This window comes from Homo sapiens, chromosome 18 (assembly GCF_000001405.40).
Source record: "Homo sapiens chromosome 18, GRCh38.p14 Primary Assembly".
In the NCBI taxonomy this organism is placed as follows: domain Eukaryota; kingdom Metazoa; phylum Chordata; class Mammalia; order Primates; family Hominidae; genus Homo; species Homo sapiens.
Window position 1 is genome coordinate 12,382,470 of NC_000018.10, and position 19,059 is coordinate 12,401,528.

The 19,059-nt window shown below is 46.4% G+C and overlaps 1 pseudogene; it reads left to right on the forward strand.

Moving 5' to 3' along the window:
• Nucleotides 17,943–18,004, forward strand: RNU7-129P (RNA, U7 small nuclear 129 pseudogene; annotated as a pseudogene).

Consider the following 19,059-nt stretch of genomic DNA (forward strand, 5'->3'; position numbering starts at 1 on the left):
TGATTAAAAAAAAAAAAACATGATTCAGCTGTATGCTGTCTACAGGAGACCCAGTTTATATCCAAAGACACAAATGGGTTAAAAATAAAGGATGGAAAAAGATATTCTGTGCAAATAGTAATTAAAAGAGAGATAAGAGGCAGGGCGCAGTGGCTCACGGCTGTAATCCCTGGGAGGCCAAGGCCGGCGGATCACAAGGTCAGGAGATCAAAACCATCTTGGCTAACACGGTGAAACCCTGTCTCTACTAAAAAATACAAAAAACTAGCTGGGTGTGGTGGCGGGTGCCTGTAGTCCCAGCTACTTGGGAGGCTGAGACAGGAGAATGGTGTGAACCCGGGAGGCGGAGCTTGCAGTGAGCAGAGATCGCACCACTGCCCTCCAGCCTGGGTGACAGAGTGAGACTCCTTCTCAAAAAAAAAAGAGATAAGATGGCTATACTAATATCAAATAAAAACACATTAAGATAAAAACTCTTGGCTGGGTGCAGTGGCTCATGCCTCTAATCTCAGCACTTTGGGAGGCCAAGGCAGGCAGATCACCTGAGGTCAGGAGTTCGAGACCAGCTTGACCAACATGGTGAAACCTCATCTCTACTAAAAATACAAAAATTAATTGGGCATGATGGCACACACCTGTAATCCCAGCTACTCACGAGGCTGAGGCAGGAGAATTGCTTGAACCCAGGAGGCAGAGGTTGCAGTGAGCCCGGATTGCGCCACTGCACTCCAGCCTGGGTGACAGAGAGAGACTCAGTCTCAAAAAAAAAAAAAAAAAAAAAAGATAAAAACTCTTATAAGACACAAGGAAGGACATAATATACTGACAAAAGGATCAATTCATCAAGTAGATATAACAATTATAAACATATGCACACCATTCAACAGAGCCCCCAAAATATATGAAGCAAATATTGATAGAATTGAAGGTAGAAATAGATGGTTCTACAATAATAGCTGGAAACTTCAATACACTACTTTTAATAATGGATATAACATTTACACAGAAGATCATTGGGAAATGGAGGACTGTGTGTGTGTGTGTGTGTGTGAGTGTGTGTGTTGTGGTTTTTTTGTTTTTGTTTTTGTTTTTTTGAGATGGAGTTTTGCTCTTGTTGCCCAGGCTGGAGGGCAATGGCGTGATCTCGGCTCACCGCAACCTCCGCCTCCCGGGTTCAAGTGATTCTCCTGCCTCAGCCTCCCGAGTAGCTGGGATTACAGGCATGTGCCACCATGCCCAGCTAATTTTGTATTTTTAGTAGAGACAGGGTTTCTCCATGTTAGTCAGGCTGGTCTTGAACTCCCGACCTCAGGCGATCCACCTGCCTCAGCCTCCCAAAGTTCTGGGATTACAGGCGTGAGCCACTGCAACCGGCCATGTTGTATTTTTAAGTCAGGATCTTGCTCTGTCATCCAGACTGGAATGCAGTGGCACAATCACAGCTCACTGCAACCTTGACCTCCTGGGCTCAAGTAATCCTCCTGCCTCAGCCTCCCAAAGTGCTGAGATTATAGATGTGAGCCACCACACCCAGCTAAACAATACTATAGCTCACACCTGTAATCCCAGCACTTTCAGAGGCTGAGGCAGGCAGATCACTTGAGTTCAGGAGTTCAAAACCAGCCTGGCCAACATGGTGAAACTTTGTCTCTACTAAAAATAAAAAAATTAGCCAGGCATGGTGGCGCATGCCTGTAGTCCCAGTTACTTGAGAGGCTGAGGCAGAAGGATTGCTTGAGCACAGGAGGAAGAGCTTGTAGTGAGCAGAGAGCATGCAACTGCACTCCAGCCTGAGCAAAGGGAGTGAAACCCTGTCTCAAAAAAAATAAAATAAAATAAACCATAAACCAACTAGACCTACAAGACGTATATGCAGAGCTCCTCCCAACAACAGAATACACATTCTTCTCAAGTGCACAGGAAACATTCTCTGGGATAGACCATATGATAGGCCACAAAACAAGTCTCAATAGATTTAAAAAGACTGAAATCATGCAAACTATCTTCTCTGACCACATTGGAATGAAGTTAAAAATCAATAACAAGAGGAAAACTGGAAAACTCACAAATATGTGGCTGTGAAACAACACACCCTCAAATAGCCAATGACTGAGAGAAGAAATCACAAGGAAAATTAGAGAATACTGCGAGACAAAGGAGAATAAAAACACAATATGCTGAAACTTATGGATGCAGTGAAGGCAGTTCTCAAACAGAAATTTATAGCTGTAAATAGCTACATTTTAAAAAGAAGAAAGATCTCAAATCAATAACTTTACACCTTGAGGGAATAGAAAAAGAACGAACTAAACTCAAAGCTAGATGAAGGAAAAAAATAATAAAGATTAGAGCAGAGATAAATAAAATAGAAAAGAGGAAAAGCAATCGAGAAAATTAACAAAAACAGGAGTTGGTTCTTAAAAAGATAAATAGGCCGGGCCCAGTGGCTCACATCTGTAATGCCAGCACTTTGGGAAGCCGAGGCAGGCAGATCATGAGGTCAGGAGTTTGAGACCAGCCTGACCAATGTGATGAAACCCTGTCTCTACTAAAAATACAAAAATGAGCCAGGCATGGTGACACGCACCTGTAATCCAAGCTACTCAGGAGGCTGAGGCAGGAGAATCTCCTGAACCCGGTAGGTGGAGGTTGCAATGAGCCGAGATCTCGCTATTGCACTCCAGCCTGGGTGACAGAGCAAGACTCCATCTAAAAAAAAAGGAGATCATGTCTAGCTATATTGCCCAGGCCAGAGTGCAGTGATATGACCATAGCTTACACAAGCCTTAAACTCCCAGGTTCCAGTGATCCTCCTGCCTCAGCCTCCCAAGTAGCTGGGACTATAGGCATTTGCCACCATGCCTAGCTCTAATCCTTTTCCTGTAAAAGGTCAATAGTAGTTACCCCACTTTTATTTCTGATTTTAGATATTTGCAACTTCTCCCTGTTTTCTTTGTCAGTCTAGTTAAAGATTTGTCAACTTTGGCCGAGTGCGGTGGCTCATGCCTGTAATCCCAGCATTTTGGGAGGCCAAGGCAGGTGGATCACGAGGTCAGGAAATTGAGACCACCCTGGCTAACACAGTGAAACCCTGTATCTACTAAAAATACAAAAAAATTAGCCAGGCGTGGTGGCGGGCGCCTGTAGTCCCAGCTATTTGGGAGGCTGAGGCAGGAGAATGGTGTGAACCCGGGAGGCGGAGCTCGCAGTGAGCTGAGATCGCGCCACCGCACTCCAGCCTGGACTACAGAACGAGACTCCATCTCAATAAATAAATAAATAAGTTTTGTCAATTTTATTTATCTTTTTTTTTTGAGATGGAGTCTTGCTGCTCTGTCACCCAGGCTGGAGTGCAGTGGCACAATCTCAGCTCACTGCAACCTCTGCCTCCTGGGTTCAAGCCATTCTCCTGACTCAGCCTGTAATCCCAGCACTTTGGGAATCCGAGGCGGGCTGATCACGAGGTCAGGAGTTCGAGACCGGCCTGGCCAATATGGTGAAACCCCGTCTCTACTAAAAAAATATAAAAATTAGTTGGGCATGGTGGTGCACGCCTGTAGTCCCAGCTACTTGGGAGGCTGAAACAGGAGAATCTCTTGAACCTGGGAGGTGGAGGTTGCAGTGAACGGAGATCATGCCACTGCACACTCTAGCCTGGGCAACAGAGTGAGACTTCATCTTAAAAAAAGAAATTTAAGAAGACTTAAATAAGTGAAAGGGTATTCCATGTTAGTGGATTGGAAAACAATATTGTTAAGATAGCAAAACTGCCCAAAGCCATCTACAGATTCAGTGCAGTCACAACTCTAAGTGCCTGCCTGCTTGCTTGTTTTCTTTATCTTTCTTTCTTTCTTTCTTTTCTTTCTTTCTTCCTTCCTTCCTTCCATCCATCCTTCCTTCCTTCCTTTCTTTTTCTTTTTGCAGACATGAAAATGCAATCTTCAAATTCATATGGAATTGCAAAGGGCCCCAAATACAACCTTGAAAAAGAATACAGTTGTAGGATTCATACTTCTCATTTACAAAACTTCATAAAATCAAAACTGTAGGTATTGGCATAAGGACAGACATATAGACGTACAGAATATAATTAAGAATCCAGAAGTAAATTCATACATGTCAACTAATTTTTGACAAGGATGCAAAGTTCATCTAATAGAGAAAGAATAGTCTTTTCAACAAATGGTTCTAGGAGAACTGGATGCAAAAGAATGAGTTGGAGCCTTACCCCTCACACCATATACGAAATTAGATTGATTTATTTACTTATTTATTTAGAGACAAAGTCTTACTCTGTCACCCAGACTGGAATGTAGTAGTGTGATCATAGCTCACTGCAGCCTCAACCTTTGGGCTGAAGTGATCCTCCCACCTCATCCTCCAAAGTAGCTGGGACTACAGGTGCACACCACTATACCTGGCTAGTTTTTTAAATTTTTTGCAGAAATAGGGTGTCACTATGTTGCTTACACTGGTCTCAAACTCCTGGCCTCAAGCAACCCTCCTACCTCATTCTCTCAAAGAGCTGGGATTATAGGTATGAGCCCCTGCACCCAGCCAAATTGTATATTTAGATGGTTTAAATGACAAATTTATATTGTAAATTTTTAGCACAATAAAAAAGAAAAAAATGCTTCAATTAAAAAAAAAGAAAAGAGGTCAGGTGCGGTGGCTCATGCCTGTAGTCCCAGCATTTTAGGAGACCAAGGCGGGTGGATTGCTTGAGGCCAGGAGTTCAAGACCAACCTGGTCAACATGGCAAAACTCCATCTCTACTAAAAATACAAAAATTAGCCAGGCATGGTGGCGCACATCTGTAGTCCCAGCTACTTGGGAGGCTGAGGCACAAGAATCACTTGAACTTGGGAGACAGAGGTTGAAGTGAGCCAAGATCACGCCACTACACTCTAGCCTCAGCCACGGAGTGAGACTCTGTCTCAAAAAAAACGCCTGTAATCCCAGCACTTTGGGAGGCCGAGGTGGGCGGATCACGAGGTCAGGAGATCGAGACCACGGTGAAACCTCGTCTCTACTAAAAATACAAAAAATTAGCCAGGCGCAGTGGCAGGCGCCTGTAGTCCCAGCTACTCGGGAGGCTGAGGCAGGAGAATGGCATGAACTCGGAAGACGGAGCTTGCAGTGAGCCGAGATCGTGCCACTGCACTCCAGCGACAGAGCGAGACTCCGTCTCAAAAAAAAAAAAAAAAACAAACAAAAAGAAAAGAAAACATGAATGAATCTTGAAAATAGTATGCTACACAAAAAGGCCACATAGTGTGTGAATCAATTTACATAAAATGTCCAAATAGGCAGATCTATAGAGACGGAAGCAGATAGTGGCTATATAGGGTTGATGGAGGGAGGGGAGGGATTGGGAAGGGTGCTAGCTAAGGGTTTCAGGTTTCTTTCCAAGGTGATCAAAATGTCCTAAGATCAATTGTGGTGATGGTTGTACCGCTCTTTGAATGACCTAAAACCATTAATTTCAACATTTTAAATAGATGAACTATATGGTATATAAATGATATCTCATTGAAGCTATTTTTTTAATGGGCAAAGGACTTGAATAGACATGTCCTCGAAGAAGACATACAAATGGCCAACCAGCACATAGAGAGAGGCTCAACATCATTAGCTGTCAATGAAAGTCAAATCAAAACCACGAGATTCCACTTCACACTCTAGGAGGGCTGCAATCAAAAATACTATAGATAGTACAAAATAATATAGATGTATACATAATAAAGATAACAAGTATTATCAAGAGTGTGGAGAAATTGGAACCCTCACGCTAGTAGGTCTATGGAAAACTGTCAATTTTCATAGGTTAAACATAGTCATATGACTCAGCATGTCCACTCCTGGGCATCTTCCCAAGATAATTGAAAGGATATATCCACACAGAAACCTGTACATGTGTTCATAACAAAGGTACATATGCTGTGTTCATAGCAGCATTATTCATGATAGCCAAAAACCAGAAAGGGCCTAAATATGTATCAACTGAATGGATAAAATGAAATGTGGTGTATTATTACAATGGATTATTATTCAGCCATAAAATGAAGACCTGATACATGCTATAGCATGGATAAACCTTGGAAACAAAGAAATCAGACATGAAAGACCACATATTATAAGATTGCATTTATACATATGAAATATGCTGAACAGGCAAATCCATGGAGACGGAAGACGGTGATTAGGGATTGCCAGGGGCTGGGGGGATGGTTGATAGAGTGTGCAAGACTAATGAAGGTGGCTGCCTACAGCAGGCAGGATGGTGTGGACTGTCTGAGCTTCTCGGTGTGTGCTTTTTCACAGTGTTTACCTTATTGAACCATGTGAAAATATTACCTATTCAAATAAAATATAATACAATCTAAGACTATTAAAGGATGTTATTTTTTTCAGTGCTGAGTGAGATTACAAGTACTTTTGAAAAAATAATTTTATGACTATGTATATTTTCCAAATATCTTATAATAAATGTATAATAGTTTTACGAGCAAGAAAATGTAAAATGTTGAAATATAAAAGGTTCAGTATAAGGATGGGGCCAGGTGCAGTGGATTATAGAATCCCAGCACTTTGAGAAGCCAAGTGGGGAGGATGGCCTGAGGCCAGGAGTTTGAGACCAGCCTGGGCAACACAGTGAGATCCCCGTCTGTACAAAAAAATTTAAAAATTAGGCCAGGTGCAGTGGCTCATGCCTGTAATCCCAGCACTTTGGGAAGCTGAGGTGGGCGGATCATTTGAGGTCAGGAGTTCAAGACCAGCCTGGCCAACATGAGGAAACCCCATCCCTACTAAAAATACAAAAATTAGCCAGGCATGGTGGCACGCACCTGTAATCCCAACTACTCTGGAGGCTGAGGCAGGAGAATCACTTGAACCCGGGAGGGGGTGGTTTGCAGTAAGCCAAGATCAAGCTACTGCACTCCAGCCTGGGAGACACAGTGAGATTCTGTCTAAAAAAAAGAAAAAAAAAAAAAACCGCCAGGCACGGTGGCCCATGCCTGTAATCCCAACACTTTGGGAGGCTGAGGCCGGGTGGATCACAAGGTCAGGAGTTCAAGACCAGCCTGGCCAAGATGATGAAATCCGGCCTCTACTAAAAATACAAAAATTAGCCACGCATGGCCAGGCGCGGTGGCTCACGCCTGTAATCCCAGCACTTTGAGAGGCCAAGGCGGGTGGATCACGAGGTCAGGAGATTGAGACCATCCTGGCTGACACAGTGAAACCCTGTCTCTACTAAAAATACAAAAAATTAGCCGGGCGTGGTGGCGGGTGCCTGTAGTCCCAGCCACTCTGGAGGCTGAGGCAGGAGAATGGCATGAACTCGGGAGGCGGAGCTTGCAGTGAGCCGAGATCGCACCACTGCACTCCAGCCTGGGTGACAGAGCGAGACTCCATCTCAAAAAAAAAAATTAAAAATTAAAAATTAGCTCAGTGTGCTGGTACAGGCCTGTAGTTCAAGCTACTCAGGAGGCTGAGGCAGGAGGATTGCCTGAGCCCAGAATTCAAGGCTGCAGTGACCTATGATCACACCATTGCACTCCAGCCTAGGTGACAGAACAAGACTCTGTCTTTCAAAATAAAAAAAAAGTTCAGTATAAATTTTTTTTTCATCAGTGTGGACAGAAACAAAGTTACAAAATGAAAAGTAAAAGTATCTTCATTTCTCATGTTCACATCTTAAAGGTAACTTTCTTTCTTTCTTTCTTTCTTTTTTTTTTTTTTTTTGAGACGGAGTCTCACTGTGTTGCCCAGGCTGGAGTGCAGTGGCCTGATCTCAGCTTACTGCAAGCTTTGCCTCGCAGATTTCAAGCTATTCTCCTGCCTCGGCCTCCCAAGTAGCTGGAATTACAGGTGCTCACCACCATGCCTGGCTAATTTTTTTGTATTTTTAGTAGAGACGGGGTTTCACTGTGTTAGCCAGGATGGTTTCGATCTCCTGACCTCGTGATCCACGCACCTCAGCCTCCCAAAGTGCTGGGATTACAGGCGTGAGCCACCGCGCCCGGACTTTTTTTTTTTTTTTTGACACAGTCTCACTCTGTCGCCCAGGCTGGAGTGCAGTGGCTGATCTCGGCTTACTGCAAGCTTTGCCTCCCAGATTTCAAGCTATTCTCCTGCCTTGGCCTCCCGAGTAGCTGGGATTACAGGCACCTGCCACCATGCCCGGCTAATTTTTGTATTTTTAGTGTTTCACTATGTTGACCAGGCTGGTCTCTAACTCCTGACCTCAGGTGATCCACCTGCCTTGGCCTCCCAAAGTGCTGTGATTATAGGCATGAGCCATGGTGCCTGGCCTTTAAAGGTAAATTTCTAGGTAGTTTTTTCTGTGTGTGTGTGTCCATACATTTTATATGTATTTGCAAGCATATAGAACTAATTTTTAGGCCAGGTGTGGTGGCTGATGCCTGTAATCCCAGCACTTTGGAAATCCAAGGCTGGTGAATTGCTTGAGGCCAGGAGTTTGAGACCAGCCTGGCCAACATGGTAAAACCCAGCCTCTACTGAAAATATAGAAAATTAGCCGGGTGTGGTAGCATGCGCTTGTAGTCCCAGCTACAAGGGAAGCTGAGGCCTGAGAACCACTTCAACCCGGGAAGCAGAGGTTGCAGTTAGCCGAGATGGTGCCACTGCACTCCAGCCTAGGTGACAGAGTAAGACTCTGTCTCAAAACAAACAAACAAAAAAAAAAAAACTTATTTTTACATGAACGAACGTGTACTTTATGCATCTTGATTTTTTCTTTTGTTTAACATATATTTTTGTATGTTAATAACATATAGTTCCCCCAAGGCATTAATAAACTCTATTGTATTCTCTTGTAAAGCTTTAATAGTTTTCTCACCAAGCGTCATTTAGACTAATTCTCATTTCTTTTTATTTCAGAAGCCACCGTGAGCTTTTTTTTTTGAGACAGGGTCTTGCTCTGTCACCCAGACTGGAGTGCAGTGGCACGATCATAGCTCACTGTAGCCTTGAATGCCCAGGCTCAAGCCTCAACTTTCCAAATAGCTGTGACTACAGGCCTGCGCCACCACAGCTGGCTAATTTTTAAATTTTTTGTAACGTTGGAGTTTCACTATACTGCTGAGGCTGGTCTTGAACTCCTGGCTTCAAGTGATCCTCCCATCTTGGCCTCCTAAAGTGCTGGGATTACAGGCATGAGCCCACGCACCCAGCCAATTATTCTTATTGGTACATGCATATATACACATGTGCCAGCTTCCATTCAGAGGATGGTTTCCTAGTAGAGAGATTGCCTGGTAAACATTAGTTTTTAGAAAATAATTTGTGTTTTGTGGCTAGGGCTTGGGCTCGCTACCCAGAGTTGTGCTGCATACGGTTCCCCACTAGGCGTCAGGAGAGCCCTATACATCTCTAGACAACGCCGTGCATTTCCAGAAAACCTTCAGATGTGTTCACAAGGCTGGTCTGGATTTTTCAAAAAATAATTTTTCTATTGTTCATAGTTCATCTCCACGAACAACCTAATGCTGTGTTTTCTATAAAGTGAAGCTGACATAATCTTTTCCAGTGGTGGTCTTGGTTTGTGCTACTGTTCCTGGCAATGGGCCTCAGGTAAAGGAATAGAAAAGACACAATGCCCAGTTGCTATTTTCCAGATGATAATGAGTAAAACCATGAATGATGTCACTGATGCCAGGGTGCTACCAATGCACGTTTCATGAATGACAACTGCAGAACATTTAGAAGATTCTTTATCACCCTTTTACTAGGTAGTGATCAAATATTTTTCTAAAAGAGTTGACCACAATGGTATACTCAAATCATAAAGTTTCTAGATTTTTCCCAATTGTGTCTTCTTGTAAAAAAATGTGATGATTGCTTTGGTACACCAAACTCCTTGTCATAAGCCATCTTTTGAGTACAGTACCGCAATCCCAGAAGGCATTATGTGAGAAGGCATTTGAAAGCTGAGAAGGAAATGGTTTGTTAGGAACCTAGTGAGAAGCTCTGTAAGCTAGATTGGATAGAATTAAAGTACCCAGAAATAGAAGTAAGGAGGAGAACATAAGATGTGTATTGAAAAGACTTACTTCAGCAATTTTTTTTTTTTTTTTTGAGACGGAGTTTTTTGAGACAGAGTTTCGGTCTCAGCTCACTGCAACCTCCGCCTCCTGGGTTCAAATGATTCTCCTGCCTCAGCCTCCCAAGTAGCTGGGATTACAGGCACCCACCACCACGCTCGGCTAATTTTTTGTATTTTTATTAGAGACGGGGTTTCACCATGTTGGCCAGGCTGCTCTCGAACTCCTGACCTCAGGTGATCCACATGCCTCAGCCTCCCAAAGTGCTGGGATTACAGGCATGAGCCACCACATCTGGCCTTACTTCAGCAATTCTATGTAGGTGTTGAAAAGAGGAAACATACCACAGAAAGTAAAAGGGATGTGCTCCTGTTTTTTCAGAGACAGAGTCTCACTTGTTGGCCAGGCTGCAGTGCAGTGGTGTGATCATAGCTCACCATAACCTTGAACTCCTGGGCTCAAGTGATCCTCCCACCTCAGACTCCTGAGCATCTGGGACAACATGCTCACAGCACCACACCGAGCTAATTGTTCTATTTAAAACAATTTTTTTTTTTTTTTGGCCAGGCACAGTGGCTCACGCCTGTAACCCCAGCACTTTGGGAGGCCGAGGTGGGAGGATCGCCTGAGGTCAAGAGATTGAGACCATCCTGGCCAACATGGTGAAACCCTGTCTGTACTTAAAAAATACAAGAATTAGCTGGGCGTGGTAACAGGCACCTATAGTCCCATCTACTCAGGAGGCTGAGGCAGGAGAATTGCTTGAACCCAGGAGGCAGAGGTTGCAGTGAGCTGAGATCACACCTCTGCACTCCAGCCTGGTGACAGAGTGAGACTTCGTCTCAAAAAAAAAAAAAATTTTTTTTTTTTTTTAGAAATGAGGTCTGGCTATGCTGTCCAAGCTGGTCTCAAACTCCTGGCCTCAAGCTATTCTCCTCCCTCAGCTTCCTGAAGCACTATGATTATAGGGATGAGCCACCATGCCTGTCCTGCTCTGTTTTAATAATATACTGGTACATCTTGTCCATTTGAGTCTCAAGATGTTTGTGAATTTAGTAAGAGAACATGTCCTTGGATTCCAGCAGTATTCTATAAGTTCTTAGAATAGCTAGGTGCTGGCAGGTAGCTAGGCACTAGTAGGTAGCTACTTCTGCAACTTGCTCTGACAACGTGGCAGGTCGAAGTCTCTGTAAATAAGATCTTTACTACCATTGTATTTGAGGATCAGCGAAACATTACAGCCTTAGTTTTGTTATAGTCCTGGGGTAATAGATGAGGCAAATATCCATGACAAATTGGAAAGAAACATCCCCTCAGAATCTTCTTACCTATTGGGAGAATGGTTTTCTCTCTAAGTTAAAACAAACTTTCTGATACAGTAGTTTTCAAACTTATTTATTTTTAGCAGCAGTCTTTTGTAAAAATGAAAATTTGACATGGACTTTCAGTGTATAGAATCTGAATATATACAAACAAAAAGTAGGACCACTGCTTGAAAAACTCCTCGGTTTACCCCCGAGCTGGTCAATAAGGTCATAGGGCTTCCCGGACTCGGCTTGAAACACACTAGACTAGACGGCTCTGTCAGTAATTACACTAGACAGAGCCCCCGCTGCCCCATGGCCAAGCCACTCCCAGTTTACAACCCCCTAGGAGTCACCCTTGACTCACTGAACAAGCAATGTTCAAGTGACTACTGTTTGCCACCACCTGGGTTAGACCCTGGGTACACAGAGATGAAGGAGGCTCAGGTCTCATCCTTGAGGAGCTCAGAGTCCATGCAGAACTACTTTCTAAACTTTAGGGAGCATTGTAATTGCCTGGGCTGCTCATTAATATGTATTATTTCTGGTTTTCACCCCAGAAATGCCCATTCAAAAGGTAAGGGGTGGAGCCTAGAAAGTTGCATCTTTAATATGCATTAACCTAGTGGGAGAAACACAAACATAAACAAGTGCAGTAATGAGGAACCAATGTGCTGGGTGTGAACGGAGGCAGCGGGAGGATTGCAGGATGACAGAGGGGCGTGAGAGGCACCCAGGCGGGCATTATGAGGCCTGGAGGGCATGCCAGCAGAGGGAGCCCCAAGGGGCAAATCCCAACTGCCTAGCTGTTAAAGTCTTCCAGAGGAGTGAGCCACAGCCAGGGCTGAAGGGGCCGCACAGTAGGGCTGGTCATACAACAGCAACCTGAGAGGAGCTCGCTCACATCGTGCACTGCCTCGCATCACTGTGCTAAGGACTTCACACTTATTCTCCTTTCATTCTCACAAGTCCCACCACATAGTGCTACTAATATTCCCACTTCATGAATGATGTTGACATTTAGCGAGATTAAGTGACTTGCAGAAGGGAAACCAGGACTGGAACCCAGGTTTGTTCCTTTCCAAACCCATGTCTTCAACTATTAAATCCTATTTCATCTTTTTTTTTTTTTTTTTTTTTTTTTTTGAGACGGAGTCTCGCTCTGTTGCCAGGCTGGAGTGCAGTGCCGTGGTCTCAGCTCACTGCAACCTCTGCCTCCTGGGTTCAAGCGATTCTCCTGCCTCAGCCTCCCAAGTAGCTGGGATTACAGGCACGTGCCACCACACCCGGCTAATTTTTTTGTATTTTTAGTAGAGATGGGGTTTCACCATGTTGGTCAAGCTGGTCTTGAACTCCTGACCTCGTGATCTGCCTGCCTCGGCTTCCCAAAGTGCTGGAATTATAGGCGTGAGCCACAGTGCCAGACTTTTTTTTTTTTTTTTTTGAGACTGAGTCTTGCTCTGTCACCCAGGTGGAGTGCAATGGCATGATCTCAGCTCACTGCAGTCTCAGCCTCCCAGGTTCAAGCAATTCTCCTGCCTCAGCCTCCCAAGTGGCTGGGACTGCAGACATGCCCCACCATGCCCAGCTAATTTTTGTATTTTTAGTAGAGACAGGGTTTTGCCATATTGGCCAGGCTGGTCTTGAACTCCTGACCTCAGGCAATCCACCCTCCTTGGCCTCCAAAAGTGCTGGGATTACAGGCATGAGCCACTGAGCCCAGCCCCTATTGCCTCTTAAAGGATGTAGACAAGGGAATGGACCAAAACAATCTGTAAGAGGTAAATTCCAGAGGACTTGATGATTGGTTGGCTGTAAGGAGTGAGCAGTCATTCCCTATTCTCCAGCCTGGGGTGCCTGAGTGATGCCACTGACCTGAACAGTGCCTCCTGGAAGAGGAGCGTGCTGAGGAAGGAAGGCTCTGGTAGCTGCCTAGGGAATGGCCTGCAGGTAGCTGGATGTGTGGGAATGAAGGTTGGGTAGAAATCTGATATAGAGATATTGGTTTGGGAATCAGTGGAAACTGTGAAACTCAATGAGTTCACTCACAGAGAGAGGCCTTGAGTGAGAAGAACAGAAGAATGGAGGAGAAGTAGAGTGTGCAAAGGAGGCAGCGAAAGGGAGTGTCATGGAAGCCAAGGGAGTGGAGTTTCAGCAAGAGTCACCTGAGTTCAAGTGACGTAGAGAGGTCCAGAAAGATGAGGGCTGAACAGTATCCACTGGATTGGCACGTTTGATGGTTGACGACCTTAAGGAGACAAGTTTCAGGAGCCCGTTACAGCACGTCGCAGAAGAACTAAGTAGGAACAACAGCAAGCTGGAGAGAGCAAGCATGGACCATTCTTTTGAATGGCTTGAATGAGAAGTGAGGGCAAAAATTGCAGGACATGACAGGGAGTGGAGCAGCCTGGAAGACAGACTCCCAGTGCTTCTCTGCACGGGTTGGCATTTGCCACCATAAACTGCTAGGATGGCGAGAGTAATCCATCCTTTGCCTTGTGAAAATGGGCTTTTGCAACCAGGCAGATGACTGTGGTTCTCAAGCCAAAGAAATGGAGAAGAGGCATCGCAGCAAGGGACGAATTTTTCTTCAGAATTCTCCATTTCCTGGAAGTCTTCATTCCTAATTCCCACACCTGCTGGTGACAAGACACAGTCCTGATTTCCCTGCCTGAGAGGCTCAGCCGGGGACCTCAGGGACAGCTGCATCCTGGTGTCCTTCCGCCAGCCAACAGGTGGCCACCTGCCCTTCTGGGTGGCATCTTTCCAGTTCTACAGAAACTATAAAACTGCAACAACAACAAAGGGACTGCTGGGCGTCGCTGAGTCAGACCCGTGTGTCACCTGGCCGCCCGCACCCCCATGCCTGCCTGCGAGGGCCTTTCTGGGCTGCTGTCCAGAGCGCATGCGCCGCCCTGCTGCGACCTCTCCGCAAGGGCTGCAGGGTGGGCCAGGTGCGTCTCTGCTGGAGCGCTCTTCTAAAAAAGGGCATGGCTCCACTTACTATTTACTTAAAAACAATGCATCTTTTTCTGTTGGAGTGGTGGGCGATTGGGGATTGCTCCTTTGTTTCCCACAAACAGAAGCAAGGGCCGAGAGGGGGAGTTCTCCTTCTTTTTTCTTTTTTTTTTTTCGAGACGGAGTCTCGCTCTGCTGCCCAGGCTGGAGTGCAGTGGCGCGATCTCTGCTCACTGCAAGCTCCGCCTCCCGGGTTCACGCCATTCTCCTGCCTCAGCCTCCCGAGTAGCTGGAACTACAGGCGCCCGCCACCAGGCCTGGCTAATTTTTTGTATTTTTAGTAGAGACGGGGTTTCACCATGTTAGCCAGGATGTTCTTGATCTCCTGACCTCGTGATCCGCCCGCCTCGGCCTCCCAAAGTGCTGGGATTACAGGCGTGAGCCACAGCGCCCAGCCTCTTTATTATTTATTTATTTTTTTTAAGTCAAAAAGACTTGGCCATATTTATAATCAAGGGTGGGATGCAGGGTGGAAGAAACCGAAATTTGAGTAGAGAAGACTTGCAGAGCAGATTCCCCCACCACCCCGGGCCCCGCGGAGAGTTGGGGAGGTAGGCGTCATCTGAGGACAGAGGGCAGTGTGGGGAGCTTGGTCTGGGTCCAGATCGTGACAGCATCTCCTGCAGATGGGATATTTGCCCTGTGTCTGACACTGTGTCAGTACTCACTACCACCTGTGGGCCGTCCAAGGCCATGAATGAGGGGTGACCCAGTGTGGGCCCCAGCAGCCGCACTCCAGAGCCTGTGCCCTTAACCAGCACAAATCAACATACAGCTCCACCGTATCTAACCAAAGGGCCCAAAGGCAATAGAGATCACACTTCTTGGATTAATTTTCTCTACGTGGCAAGCAGCAAAGTCATCAACCCAGAGAGAGAGGGAACGCGAACTGACAAGGAGGTGCGGGGAGCATGGTCCGGGTTGGGGGAGGGTGATGACCAAGGATGAATGTATTACCCTTAGGGACCTGGATAAAACAAGATACCTGGAATGTCTTCTTTGACAATCGGTAAGATCCTGCCCTTTCTCCAGTAGCACAGAGTCATTTGGGCTCCTACCAGAGAGGGCCGACTGCAGCACGGAGGGACAGAATGGAGGGACCGGAGGCGGGAGCAGCTCAGATTAGCCCTGATGAGGTGCAGGACAGGTAGGATGGGCAGGACAGGAGGGCCGGGAGTAGGAGCTAATGGAGTGTTTGGGGGCTGGGGGTGGCTATGAGGTTGAAGAGCAGGTGCCACCTGAGTGAGGTGGCAAAGAGGGAAGGACTGGAGACTGTGCTCAGAGGATGGGGGACCAGTGAGGGCTTAAAGATACATATACATTCAGATGGGATTCAACAATGCAGCCATTTATAATAAAAAACCACGACCGAGGCTAAGGAGGGTCGCTGGTGGGCTGAGTTGCTCTAGACTGAATGTTTGTGTTCCCCAATTTCATATGTCAAAGCCTAATTCCCAGTGTGGTGGTATTGGGAGGTGGGGCATTTAGGAGGGGATCAGGTCGTGAGGGTGGAGCCTTATGAACAGGATGACTGCCCTTATAAAAGGGACCCCAGGGAGCTCCCTAACCCCTTCTGCCACGTGAGAACGCAGCAAGAAAACACCATCTAAGAACCAGGAAGCCGGCCCTCACCAAACACCAAATCCACCAGGGACTTGATCTCCCCCACCTCCAGCACTCTGAGAAATGATTGATGTTTAAACACATTTATGCCTGAAGTTGCAATTTTTTGAATTTTTGCTATCAGACCTTGGTAATAACTTTGAGCAGTAGGATATAAATAGCTCCCACATGCTTAGCGTTCCGATAATGGAATACTAGGCGTAAATGGGTTTAAGCTGCCCAGTTTGCGGGATTTTGTTGTGGCAGCCAGGGCAGACTATGAGGGAGTGGCTATGTCCTTGAGAACTGTTCCTTTACTCTCTCTTTCTTCCTTCCTTCCTTCCTTTCTTTCTTCTCTTTTCTCTTTCTTCTTTCTTTTTTTCTTTCTTTCTTGCTTTTTTAAAATTTCTTTCTCTCCTTCTTTCTTCTTTCTTTCTTTCTTTTTTTGTTTTTGATGGACTCTCACTCTGTCACCCAGATTGGAGTGCACTAGGGCGATCTTGGCTCACTGTAACCTCTGACTCTTGGGTTCAAGTGATTCTCCTGCCTCAGCCTCCCAAGTAACTGGGATTACAGGTGCCTGCCACCACTCCTGGCTAAATTTTTGTATTTTTAGTAGAGATGGGGTTTCGCCATGTTGCCCAGGTTGGTCTCAAACTCCCGGCCCCAGGTAATCCGCCCACCTCAGCCTCCCAAAGTGCTGGGATTACAGGCATAAGCCATCATGCCTGGCTTTACGTTTTCTTTCTTGCTGGTGATTTTTACCCTCCTGCTGGCATTGAGATGGCCACACCAGTTCCAGAAGCTAAACAATGGAGAAGACTTGCTCTTTGGACCAAGGGTCTTTTTCCTGGCAGCCTCTCAGCAGTCACCCTCATGTCTCCCAGGCCTGTGCTGGGTCACATGAAGGCACCTAAGTGAACCTCAGACCCTCAGACCACAAGGCAGCCTTGCAGCAAGCGGGGCGGCTTCCCTGAGGCACTGAGTTTGAGGTAGGTACACCACAAAGTCAAGGTTCTGTTAGGGAGGAAGAAGGTCCTTATAGTGGGATACTGGCGTTTGAGATTTTTGAGGTGAAAGAGTTCAAAATGTGAGCAAGAGGCCAGGCACAGTGGCTCACGCCTGTAATTCCAGCACTTTGGGAGGCCAAGGCGAGCAGATCACCTGAGGTCAGGAGTTCAAGACCATCCTGGCCAACATGGTGAAACTCCATCTCTACTAAAAATATAAAAATTAGCTGTGCGTGGTGGTGGGCACCTATAATCCCGGCTACTCGGGAGGCTGAGGCAGAGAATCACTTGAACCTGGGAGGTGGAGGTTGCAGTGAGCCAAGATCTTGCCACTGCACTCCAGCCTGGGTGACAGAATGAGGCTCCATCTCAAAAAAAAAAAAGACAGGAAGGCCCAGGGACCACAGGCCTCTGGGTGGGTCATCCATGGGGATATTGACATCACCCAGAATTATGGCACAAGGTGGCTGGGGCATGGAGAGGGACACAGCAAGCCAACCTGCCAGACCCCATAAGTGGAGGGGTGCTGGAGAGGAGCAGGTGACAGACAAAGAGGAAAGGGGGGTGGGGTGTGCTTCTTTTCCTTCTCCCTGAACCCCGTTGACTATAAGCACCTACTGCTTCGTCCTACTGCTCTGGGCAGGTGCCCATGTCTCTTCTATCTAGAGCAACAGCTTCTTGCCTGGCCTCCCTGCCTACCCATGCTCCCTCCACTCCCTGGTTTCCAAACTTCACTGCATTCCGGAATCCTCAGGGAGCTTCTCAAAACCTAATGCCCAGGCCACACTGTAGTCCAGTTGAAGGAAAGTCCCTACGGCTGCTTCCAAGCTTCAGCGCTTGCCAGAACTCCTCGGGTTATCCATTATCATGCAGCCCAGGTTGGAACGACACCTCTGCCTGTCCCCACACTGCCCATTCTCTTCTCAAAAGCCAGGTGGAAGTGGTACAGTTCTTTTGGAATTTGTCTAGCAGGTCTTCTTGTTTTTACTGGAAAATCCTCCAAAGGAAAAAACAATAAAAAGGCAGTAGGAGCAGGTCATTCCCATTCATTCAAAAAACAGTTGTCTGGCTAGCACCGTGGCTCTCACCTGTAGTCCCAGCACTTTGGGAGGCCAAGGCAGGAGAACTGCTTGAGCCCAGGAGTTCAAGACCAGCCTGAGCAACATAGCAAGACCCTGTCTCTACACTATCTTTTGTTTTTATTAGCTGGGCATAGTGCCTGTGGTCCCAGCTACTTGGGAGGCTGAGAAGGGAGGATCACTTGAGGCCTGGAGGTTGAGGCTGCAGTGAGCTATGATCACACCACTGCACTCCAGCCTGGGTGACAGAGTGAGACCCTGTCTCTTTTTTTTTTTTTTTTTTTTTTTGAGACAGAGTCTTGCTCTGTCGCCCAGGCTGGAGTGCAGGGGCATAATCTCGGCTCACTGCAACCTCTGCCTCCTGGGTTCAAGCAATTCTCGTGCCTCAGTCTCCCAAGTAGCTGAGATTACAGGCACGCACCACCACACCCAACTAATTTTTGTATTTTTAGTAGGAGACGGGGTTTCACCATGTTGGCCAGGCTGGTCTCGAACTCCTGACCTCAAGTGATCCCCCCCTCCTCGGCCTCCCAAAGTGCTGGGATTATAGGCATGAGCCACCACACCCGGCTGACCCTGCCTCTTAAAGAGAGAAAAAAGGCCAGGCACGGTGGCTCACGCCTGTAATGCCAGGCCGAGGAGGGCGGATCACGAGGTCAGGAGTTCAAGACCAGCCTAGCCAATATGGTGAAACCCATCTCTACTAAAAATACAAAAATGAGCCTGGTGTGGTGGTGTGCGCCTGTAATCCCAGCTACTCGGGAGGCTGAGGCAAGAGAATCGCTTGAACCCTGGAGGCGGAGGTTGCAGTGACACGAGATCACGCCATTGCACTCCAGCCTGGGCAACAGAGTGAGACTCCGTCTTAAAAAAAAAAAAAGAAAAGAAAGAAAGAAAAAAGAAAAAAAAAGTTGTCAAGTCCCTAATATTTTCCAGGTACTGGGAATACAAAGATAATAAATACATGAGGGTCCCC